Consider the following 12,385-nt stretch of genomic DNA (forward strand, 5'->3'; position numbering starts at 1 on the left):
TCACTTCTTCATTTTTAAACTTACTGCAAATCTACTGTAATCAAGACAGTGTGGTACTGGCATAAGGATAGACATAGAGATCAATTGAATAGAAATGAGTCCAGGAGATTAGATTCAAGACAGCTGACTAGATGCAGCTAAGATGTGGCTCCTCCACAGAGAGGAAGCAAAATATCCAGTAAACCTTCACACTTCAAATGGATCTTTAGAGAGAAAACACTGAAATGTAACAGAGATGTGATGGAAGGCACTGTGATTGAAGAGGAAGGAAGTGGAGTATCCTGCTGGGTGTTGCTAGGTGCCAGAACCAACCCCTAGACCCAGACTGAACCCCGGGAAAGGATGAATGAAGGAAACCCAGGGCACCACATTCCCACCGTGGACCTCTGAGATCCTAGCTACGGGAGTTCCCATGACTCCTGCAGATATTTGGAGTGGCAAGGAGAGCTGTCTGGAGAACAAGCAGAGGCACCGCTTAAACCTTCATGGAGCCCTCAAGATTTCAGCGTGCTGGGCAGCTATAGCAAAACATAACTCTAGGCACCCATCCCCTGAGGCTCTGGGTCATGCCCTAAGTGGCTGCAGCTCCTGCCATCTGTGGAGGCCAGGAGAGATTTGAGGCTGGGTGTGCTCATGGGCCCAAGACAGAACCCACCATCACTGTCACAGGACTGAGATGCATCATATCATGTGCCCCTCATGCCTGCTGGTCCCTCTCAAGACTATCTGCTTGTCATTCCCACGGTGGGGCAAGTGGGCACCCACAGCACAGTCTCTACTGCCCTGCCTGGAGTGGTTTGTTGGTGGCCTAGGAGCAGTTCAACACCTCCATCACAGCCAGTGCATGACCCTGAGTGGCCAGGGGACAATCTGCTGGTCTGGTCCCAGTTCCCCAGGACTTGACCACACCGCCTAGGGGTATGAAGATGAGACTAGTGGCCTGATCTTTAGCAGGAGAGGAGCCCCCACTGTCAGAACACAGAGAAGAGTTTAGTGCAGGTCCATGTCATGACGCAGGAGTTGGGCACCCCTCCTTTCACAGGACCTGGAATGTGTCTGGCCTGATAGCCTTACTTTCTGCCACAGGGAATTTTATACTCTGGAATGCCTGGAATGGCTCAGTGATCTGGGCATAGATGACTTGGAAGTAGCCTAACTGGTTGGGCCTGTTGCCAGAGCCAGACACTGAGAGGAGGAAGACCCACCAGATCAGGGTGTGGGAGCTGAGCAGGCCCCACAGCTCCCTACTGCGCTGAAAACCCCAGGCCACCCCTCTTCCTCTGAGCTGGCTCTGTGGCACAGGAGAGATGCCTCTGCCCTTCCCTGGACGGTTGTCCCAGTGGCCTGAGAGCTGCCCCAGAACTTCACCAAGGTCAGCACCTGTACCTGCCCTAGAGAGCCTGAACCAGCCTGACCCAGCAGTGTCCAGCTTTGCTGCCTCTAGCTGCCTTGGCAGCAGTGTGGGGAGTGACCCCTGAGAGCCACACACCCCACCCATCGCCAGGGACACCCCAGTACTTCCCCTATCAACAAAGGCCAAATACAAATTCCACTACCAGTTGGGCACAGTGGCTCACGCCTGTAATCCCAGCACTTTGGGAGGCCAAGGTGAGTGGATCACCTGAGGTCAGAAGTTCAAGACCAGCCTGACCAATATGGTGAAACTCCATCTCTACCAAAAATACAAAAATTAGCCAGGCATGTTGGTAGGTGCCTGTAATCCCAGCTACTCTGGAAGATGAGGCAGGAGAATTGCTTGAACCCAGGAGGCAGAGGTTGAGGTTGCAGCGAGCCGAGATCACACCACTGCACTCCAGCCTGGGTGACAGAGCAAGACTCTGCCTCAAAAAAAAAAAAAAAAAAAAAAAAAAAGCCATTACCATCACTGTAACTTCATCTTGCCTACAAGCACCATCTATTGGCTGGGAGGTCAAACCGTACTGTCCATCACAACTTCTGACATTAGTGTACGTGTACGACAGCCAGTTGTCACTCACAAGCACCACCTACTGGCATGCATGGTGAACTGCCCAACCCAATGTAATTCCTGCTGACAGAGGTGCTGGAGAACAAAATATGGCTCTCTCTATCTTTATTGGAAACAGTGAACCTGATCACACATACAGCACACTGCTACTACAACCTACAAACAACTAGCATTAGAGAAAACCACTACACTATCTATAACCAACTAATTCAAACAGAGATTTGGCCACATGAAACTACATTAAAAAAAAAGCCAGCATAGGCAACAGTCACACTCTCAAGGAGAGAAGAAAAAAACTCACCCAAATGAAAGTAAATTCAAATGTAAAAAGTGACAGTTTCTACAGATAAGAAGCAACCAGCACAAGAACTCCAGCACCATGAAGAAACAAAATGCTGTGATACCCCCAAAAGACCACACCAGCTCTCTAGCAATGGGTCCTAACCAAAATGAAAACTTTGAAACGACAGATAAATAATTTAAGGTATGGGTTGTAAGCAAGTTCAGTGAGATCTAAGTGAAAGTTGAAAAATAACACAAAAAGGCATAAAAACAGATCAGGAGTTCCGTTTTATTGAAAACAAACAGTTATGTTTGACTGAAAAACAGAACTTCTGGAAATATAAAATACACTGAAGGAATTTCACAATACAATTGAAAGTTTTAACAAGACTACACCAAGCAGAAGAAAGAATATCAGAGTTTCAACATCTGTCTTTCAAATTAACACAGTTAGACAAAAATAAAGAAAACACAATATTTAAAAGTGAACAAAGACTTTGAGAAATATGGGATTTTGTAAAGTGATCAAACTTACAACTTTTAGGCATTCCTGAGGGAAAAGAAGAAAAAGAGGTTTGGAAAACATATTTGAGGGAATAATTCAGGAAAATTTCCCTGATCTGGCTACAGATGTAGACATCCAGATTTAAGAAATGCGAAGAATATCTGCAAGATACTCTACATGATGAATATCATAAAGCCATGTAGTCATTAGACTATCCAAGGTCAACATGAAAAAGCAAATCTTAAAGGCAGCTAGACAGAAGCATCAAATCACTTACAAAGGAAATCCCATCAGACTAACAGCAGGCTTTTCAGCACAAACCTTACAAATCAGAAAAGATTGGTGGCCTATCTTTAAGCTCTTAAAAGAGAAAAAATTGCTAGTCAAGAATTTTATATCCTGACAAACTAAGATTCATAAATGAAGAAGAAATGAAGTATTTCCCAAAAGAACAAATGCTAAGGGATTTCTCACCACTAGACAGGTCCTACAAGAAATGGTCAATGGAGTCCTAAACATGGAAATGAAAAGGTGATACTTGCCATAATAAAGGCACACATAAGTAGAAAGTCCACAGATCCCATAAAGTAATTACACAGTTTAGACCCCAAAGCAACTAGCTAACAAAACTATGACCAGGAGAAAAAAAAAACCTCACATATCAATACTAACCTTGAGCATAAATGGCCTATATACTCCACTTAAAATATAGAGAGTGGCAAATTTGATTAAAAAGAAAAAAAGACCCAACTATCTGCTGCCTACAAGGGACCTCCCAAATAACTAAAGACAGACTCAAGGGAGTCGAAAAAGATATATCATACAAATGGAAAAAAAAAAAAAAAAAAGCAAGCAGAGTAGCCATTTTTATACTGGATAAAACAGACTTTTAACCAACAACAGGAAAATAAGAGAAAATGGGTATTATATAATGATAAAGGATTAAATAAAGCAAGAAGATTTAACTATCATAAATAAATAGCACCCAACACTGGAGCAACCAGATTCATAAAATAAATACTACTAGACCTAAGAAAAGGGGCTGACAGAAATACAAAAATAGTGGGGACTTCAACACCCTACTAGCAACACAAAACAGGTAATCAAGTCAGAAAGTCAACAAAGAAACTCTGGACTTAAGTTGGACTCTGGACAAAATAGAGCTAATAGACATTTGCAGAACATTCTACCTAACAACCACAGAATATACATTTCTCTCATCTGAGCATGGAACAGTCTCCAAAATTGACCATATGCTTGGCCACAAAGCAAATCTCAATAAATATTAAAAAATCAAAATCCTATCAAGAACCGTCTTGGACCACAGTGGAATAAAATTAGAAATCAATACCAAGAGGAACTCTCAAAAATACACAAGTACATGGAAATTAAACAACTTGACCCTGAATGATTTTTGAGTAAATAATGAAATTAAGTCAGAAATCAAATATGTTTTTAAAATGAATGAAAACAGAGACGCAGCATACCAAAACCTCTTGGATTTAACAAAAGCAGTGCTAAGAGAAATTTTTATAGCATTAAACCCCTATATTAAAAATATAGAAAGATCTCAAATTGACAACCTAACATTATAACTCAAGGAACTAGAAATGCAAGAACAAACCAAACCCGAAGCTAGAAGAAGAAAATAAATAACAAAGATCAAAACAGAACTAAATGAAATTGAGACCAAAAAAAAAGATACAAAGGATCAACAAAATTAAAAGATGGTTCTTTGAAAAGATAAATAAAATCAATAGACCAGTAGCTAGTTTAACTAAGAAAAAAAGAGAGAAAATTCAAATAAGCACAATCCAAAATGATAAGGGTGCATTACAACTGATACCACAGAAATATAAAGAGATCATCAAAAATAACTATGAACATCTCTATGTGCACAAACTAGAAATCCTAGACACAATGAATAAATCCCTGGAAACATACAATCTCCCAAGGTTGAACCAGGTAGAACAATTTATTTATCAATTCCTTGTTGTTAGAAATTGTCATGGTTCATATCTTCTAGTACTGTAACTGTGAAGAAACAAGCCACTTCATATATACATCTTTGTATACTTGTCCAATTATTTATTTTAAAAATATTTGTGGATCTGAAATTGCTGAGTTAAAGGTTAGGCTTTTCATACATATTTCTAAATGTATGAATTTAGAAATATGTATGAAATTCCCCAATTTTGAGTACCAAGCTCTGCCCCAGTTGTAGAGGTGGACAAGATTAACAAGATGGTGATTCTCAGGTAATTTGCCTTCTATTAGGATGGATAAATTTTGGATTAATAAATATAGGTATGATCTGTGTTTCAGAGAGGGGAAACACAAGGCATTTTACTTGCCTAGAAGAAGTGCCTCTTTGTTCAGTTCAGGCAATGCTTTACTAAGAGATGTTTAAACAGATCCTGCAGAGCACAGGTTACAAAGGAAAAACGTGTTTCAGAAAGAGAGAAGACAGTATGATAGATGAATCAGGGATAAGACAGAATATGCCATTTGGGGAAATTAAGTAAAGCCCAGTTTGGCTAAAGCCATCTGTATGACAGATAAAAAGTTAATATCCTTACTATATGAAGAACTCTTACAAACCATAAGAAAAATTTGAGTATATCAGTGGGAACAGACAATTCATCAAAAAAGAAATATAAATATATAATAATTTTAAAAGTTCAGTCCCATTATTAAAAAATTCAATTAAAAATGAAAAACATTTTTAAAATTTTTGCCTATGATACTAACAATGTTTTGAAATAATCAGCATCCAAAATGGATAAGGGTCATTGTGAACAATAATACATGGTGGCTAAGAGCTTGAATTGAGAGCCAGACTGCCTAGATTCAAAACCTGCCTGTTACTAACACCATAAGACAAGGAAAGAAAAATTAAAAATTAAACGTTTTTAAAAATCTGCCTGTTTCACTTACCACCGATATGATCTTTGGCAATTTGCATAATCTCTCTATGCCTTAGTTTCCACGTCTACAAAATAAGACTAATGCAACCTTCTAAGTTTACTGTGGAGATGAAATAATATATGTCAAGTGATTACAGCAGCACCTGGAACACAGTGAGTAACCAGTAAATGCTGTTATTATTATGTGACCTTGCTCAATGGCTTTCCATGCCACCGTATCCACACACTAAATCATTATAGATATTTTGGTTTATTTTTAATTGTACAATCTGACACTGGTACAATACTGAATTGATTACATAATATATGTTAATATGGAACATGTTCATTGCTGAAGTCTTACATATTAAAATATATTTCAATGATAGGATAAATTTCTTGGTTTTTTTTTGAAACATTTTCTTAATATTTCTTATACATTTTTTCTAAATGCACTATAAAATGCCTTTTTAAGTTTTCAAATTCTAAAGTAAAATATTCCAAAAACAAGACTTGGAATTACATTTAATTATAGATTAATATGGAGAAATTACACCTTACAATTACAAATTACAACATTGTAACAATATTGAGGATGTCCCATATCCATGTTTATGTTATTTCCCTTTATTTATTTTACTCTTATATCTGCACACAAAAATAAATACAACCACAGCAGTATATTTTGTAGTTTTACATATATAGGTCATGCAGAGGATAAAACTTTGTGCATGAATGTATGTGTATGTGTGTGCATGTATATTCATATAGGCCACACATGAGATAAAACACATATTTACATTTTATTTATACATACATGCATACATATATGTATGTATAAAACAAATTATGTGGGAAATTCCAACAAAATTCAATAATATTGGAATAAATGCATAAGCATATCACTTTCAAAAACGACTCCATTTTAAAGAAGAAACATATTTATTTCAAAATATGAGTGTGTTTAGCTAAAGATGAAGCTCGTTACTTTATAGTTAAACTATTTATTAGTAGCCTGTAAATATAAAGTGTCAGGAATTTTTTTAAGTAATAATACTTGCCCGCTTTACTGATGAAATTATCATTTATATTCACATACACAAAAACACCCAACTTTCTATTTCCTAACTTAGCTTATGAAAAATTCATAGAAGTTAAAGGATTGTTGTCTTAGATATCATGGCATTTGGAATTCTACTTGAAATACTTTGTTTATAATGGATAATAAATATTCATAGGATAAATGGGTACCATCTAACATGATTCTTTACAAGGGAAAATTTATTCATTAATCATTCCCCTTCCAGGTTAAGTTCATATTATCTCTTGCTAGAAAAAAACAAAAGGGCAGCCTCTGGGTTCCGGCACATAGGCTGAAATAGGCTGTACAGGAATCATGAAGAGTTGGGCTGCACTGCCCAACTTCTATTCTGTCATTTAACAAACCCAGTGTTTTGCCCAAAAAAGTCTAGTGAGTCAAAAGGGGGACTAGGTGAAGTATAAGATAAATCAGTGGCAAAAATCTGCACAAAATACATCTGAACACTGAACCAGATGTGGACTTTCTGTGATGCTAAACATTTAGGGACCTCTCCTTTGCATAGACCACCATGGTTGCATGATCATTTTTGTAAGCTTGTAAAGATATTTTGTATTTTTATTCTTAAGCAGGAACCTCCTCTCTCCCATATTAAATAAATCTCAGGCATCACAAAACCTGAATCCACTCCTGCTCTTCACTCTTCTAACAATCACTTCCTGCCCTTAATTTTTTGAGACCTCTCACTAAATAAATATAAAGGGAATACATTCTCTTGGCATTGTTAGAATCTCCATGACTGTTGGATATCTGCATCCCATCGCCCTGGTAACCCAAAGGAAAGAAGAAGGATGAATAACTTCCAATTCATTTAAACTTAATTAGAAAGAGAAAAGGATAGTTTGAGTGAGGGTGGGGACCGGGGGAGGGACCTAATTTTATTGCACAGAATGTTAACGACCAAAAGTTAATATTTGTGTGCTACAAAATATATGTCAACATTATTTTAAATTCCTAGCTATATTTGAGGAGGAGACCAAGAAAGACCTCTTTGGTGTTATCATCCCCCTTATTCTAAAACACAGCTGCTCTCAGACGCAAAGAAAGGAAAAGAGTGGGCAGTAGATGCCTCACACTGCCTCTAAAGTTTTATTTTGGTTACAATTTCATAGCAGGTAGATGAGAAAAATGCTAACATTAATGAGGAAATATAACTATTTAATAAATGACATTTGTTTGAATGTAGCATTAGAGAATTCAATCCTTTCAAGAGCAGAAGTTCTAGGAACACTAAGCTTTCCTTCACAAAGTAAGGTATAAATTGAATAAAGCGGGTTTTTTTGTGGGGGGAAGAGTAGCACATCTTTCATATCTTGCAAGTGCAGGTGCAAAAAAGGAGAAAGTTGTGAAAAACAAGTGATACAAATAATGATTTAAGAGACCACTGAAGTTGGAACATTGTTGAATTAATATTTTCTTTAAACTGGCGTGAAATATGTTTCTAGATATTTCTTCCTCATTTTTAAAATTTATTCATATTCAATATGAAAATAACCAAGACTTTCAAAAGGTAACATAGTTATATTCAGTATTTATCACAAAGTTTTTGTTCTGCAACATTTGCATGTCTTCCTAATTCTTTTTGATGCTAGCCCAACCAGCCCCCACCTTCTGTTAAATGATGCTTGTCAGGATTTCTAGTTCATCTCCTTTGTTTCAGTGAAGTGTACTGTTCTTTTTTCCACACTCAAAGCAATGATATAGGGATATAAAACTACTGAAGTTCTATTTTATTAAGGAGTTTTATTTCAATTTCAGATAATTTTGAACAATTCATATTCTTTATACCTGACCTGCTTTGATAAATAGATTATTAGGACATATGGATAATGTGTTATTTTTACTATTTACTTATTTTTCTGTCCCTTATTCCAAGTATATTTAATTTACTAAGTTGACAGGGCACATGGCAAGTTATAAGATATGAGCACATTGTGATTTTTATATTAAAAAATTCCAATGACTACCTTAAGGTATTCTCCAATGACTTAGTATTTCCATTTTTATTTTCAGAGCATCTTTAACCTAAAGTAACTCTCATATGGTGGTACAGACTCCTCATTTCCCCCAGTAGTTCTTCTCCTTTTCCATAATAAAGAACTCTTGACTTTTTAGTTAGACCCATAGACACCCAGAATAAGAACTACATATCCTAGCTTCCATTGCATCTTCAAGCAGCATGTGACTGGATTCTAGCAAGAACATATAAGCAAAACCTTTCTGTAAAAGTAGTTGGCCCACATATTTTCCTCCTTTTTTGGTCAATTTCCCCCAACCCCCCGCCACCACCCCCCAGCCTTAGAAAATGTGAATGGAGCAGTGAACTAGGACCATGAGTAGACGCTAGGAATGGAAATCTACACATTGCCAAACAAAAAGGGAGGAGGAATCTCTTTCCCAAGAACTTTGTGGAACAGATATTTCTTATCAGCATTGTACTGCCTATTTTGGAATTTTACTTAAGATGTAAATAAATTACTCTCGTTTAACTCACTGGTATTTTGGGTTTCTGGTACTGATAACTGAACATTGCCATATCCGATATGTGGTATTGTACCAGCTAATTTCCTTGGACATAAGCGCCAAATACAAAGATCCCTCTCTAGCATGTAGGTCCTATTAAAAGTTTATGTATAGATAAACATTCTTGCACAGTATTTACAAGCTTTATACTGGCAATGAATTTATATTTATGTCTGATATCAAATACTGCAAAGCTGAAGTTACTACTACTAGCTACAGAAAAAGCAGCAAACCTTCAAGGAGAAAACTACCTTGGAACTATACTCAAAAGTTAAACTCTGCACATGACATTCCTATCAGGTATGAGTCTTTAAATTACTTTGTTATCAATTGGCCAATAATTTAATTCCATCATAACCTTTGAGGAAATAAACTACATAGATATGTATAAATAAAATAATCAGGTCCAAAAATAATAAAGAAAAGCAAACAATGTGGCTAGTTGAACCATTCATTCATTTATTTAATGGGCATATGTTAAAATTCTTTGTACTGTTTCTTGTGCCAATTTATTCATACACATATAAATAAAACATGTCCCTCCTAGGGTATTGCATTTTTATATTTAAAGAGAAACAGGCAGCCCTGCCTCTCCCTCTCCTTCTCCCCCTCCCCTCTCCCCTCTCCCCTCTCCCTTCTCCCCTCTCCCCTCTCCCTCTCGGTCTCCCTCTCCCTCTCGGTCTCCCTCTCCCTCTCTTTCCACGGTGTCCCTCTGATGCCGAGCCGAAGCTGGACTGTACTGCTGCCATCTTGGCTCACTGCAACCTCCCTGCCTGATTCTCCTGCCTCAGCCTAACGAGTGCCTGCGATTGCAGGCATGCGCCACCATACCTGACTGGTTTTCGTACTTTTTTGGTGGAGACGGGGTTTCGCTTTGTTGGCCGGGCTGGTCTCCAGCTCCTAACCGCGAGTGATCCGCCAGCCTCGGCCTCCTGAGGTGCCGGGATTGCAGATGGAGTCTGGTTCACTCAGTGCTCAATGGTGCCCAGGCTGGAGTGCAGTGGCGTGATCTCAGCTCCGCTACAACCTCCATCTCCCAGCCGCCTGCCTTGGCCTCCCAAAGTGTCGAGATTGCAGCCTCTGCCCGGCCGCCATCCCGTCTGGGAAGTGAGGAGCGTCTCTGCCTGGCCGCCCATCGTCTGGGACGTGAGGAGCCCCTCTGCCTGGCTGCCCAGTCTGGAAAGTGAGGAGCGTCTCTGCCCAGCCGCCATCCCATCTAGGAAGTGAGGAGCGCCTCTTCCCAGCAGCCATCCCATCTGGGAAGTGAGGAGCGTCTCTGCCCAGCCGCCCATTGTCTGAGATGTGGGGAGCGCCTCTGCCCCGCCGCCCCGTCTGGGATGTGAGGAGCGCCTCTGCCCGGCCGCGACCCCATCTGGGAGGTGAGGAGCGTCTCTGCCCAGCCGCCCCGTCTGAGAAGTGAGGAGACCCTCCGCCCAGCAACCGCCCCGTCTGAGAAGTGAGGAGCCCCTCCGCCCGGCAGCCGCCCTGTCTGAGAAGTGAGGAGCCCCTCTGCCCGGCAGCCACCCCGTCTAGGAAGTGAGAAGCGTCTCCGCCCGGCAGCCGCCCCGTCCGGGAGGGAGGTGGGGGGGTCAGCCCCCCGTCCGGGAGGGAGGTGGGGGGGGTCAGCCCCCGCCCGGCCAGCCACCCCGTCCGGGAGGGAGGTGGGGGGTCAGCCCCCCGCCCGGCCAGCCGCCCAGTCTGGGAGGTGAGGGGCGCCTCTGCCCAGCCGCCCCTACTGGGAAGTGAGGACCCCCTCTGCCGGGCCAGCCACCCGTCCGGGAGGGAGGTGGGTCAGCCCCCCCCCCAGCCAGCCGCCCCATCCGGGAGGGAGGTGGGGGGGTCAGCCCACCGCCCGGCCAGCCGCCCTGTCCGGGAGGGAGGTGCGGGGCTCAACCCCCCGCCCGGCCAGCCGCCCCGTCCGGGAGGTGAGGGGCTCCTCTGCCCGGCCGCCCCTACTAGGAAGTGAGGCGCCCCTCTGTCCGGCCAGCCGCTCCGTCCGGGAGGGAAGTGGGGGGGTCAGCCCCCTGCCCTGCCAGCCGCCCCGTCCGGGAGGTGAGGGGCACCTCTGCCCGGCCGCCCCTACTGGGAAGTGAGGAGCCCCTCTGCCCGGCCACCACACCGTCTGGGAGGTGTACCCAACAGCTCATTGAGAACGGGCGGGGATGACAATGGCGGTTTTGTGGAATAGAAAGCGGGGAAAGGTGGGGAAAAGATTGAGAAATCGGATGGTTGCCGTGTCTGTGTAGAAAGTAGTAGACATGGGAGACTTTTCATTTTGTTCTGTACTAAGATAAATTCTTCTGCCTTGGGATCCTGTTGATCGGTGACCTTACCCCCAACCCTGTGCTCTCTGAAACGTGTGCTGTATCCACTCAGGGTTAAATGGATTAAGGGCGGTGCAAGATGTGCTTTGTTAAACAGATGCTTGAAGGCAGCATGCTCGTTAAGAATCATCACCACTCCCTAATCTCAAGTACCCAGGGACACAAACACTGCGGAAGGCCGCAGGGTCCTCTGCCTAGGAAAACCAGAGACCTTTGTTCACTTGTTTATCTGCCGACCTTCCCTCCACTATTGTCCTACGACCCTGCCAAATCCCCCTCTGCGAGAAACACCCAAGAATGATCAATAAAAAAAATTCAAATTAAAAAGAAAAAAAAAAAAAAGAGAAACAGAATTCATAAGCAAAGGATAAATAAGATACTTTTCAGGCAAGCAAATGCTAAGAGAATTTGACTACCAGACCTGCCTTACAAGAGGTTCTGAAGGGAGTAATATGGAAAGGAAAGACCAACACGGACCGCCAAAAAAATTCACTTAAATACACAGACCACTGACACTATAAAGCAACCATACAAACAAGTTTGCATAATAACCAGCTAACAACATAACAGGATCAAATTCGCATATGTCAATATTAACCTTATATGTAAATAGACTAAATACTCCAGTTAAAAGGCATAGAGTGGTGAGTTGAATAATGAAGCAAAACCCAACTGTATGCTGTCTTTAAGAGACCCATCTCACATGCAATGATACCCACAGGATGAAAATAAATGGATGGAGAAAAATCCATTAAGCAA

At 41.3% G+C, this 12,385-nt stretch overlaps 1 annotated feature.

Moving 5' to 3' along the window:
* Positions 11,184–11,979: an enhancer, noted in NCBI's record as "NANOG-H3K27ac hESC enhancer chr12:44079381-44080176 (GRCh37/hg19 assembly coordinates)". NCBI's record gives its function as "activates a minimal SCP1, AML or CMV promoter by ChIP-STARR-seq in naive H9 embryonic stem cells {active_cell/tissue: H9 hESC(naive)}" and the evidence as "EXISTENCE:reporter gene assay evidence [ECO:0000049][PMID:30033119]".

Source organism: Homo sapiens, chromosome 12, assembly GCF_000001405.40.
Source record: "Homo sapiens chromosome 12, GRCh38.p14 Primary Assembly".
Lineage (NCBI taxonomy): Eukaryota > Metazoa > Chordata > Mammalia > Primates > Hominidae > Homo > Homo sapiens.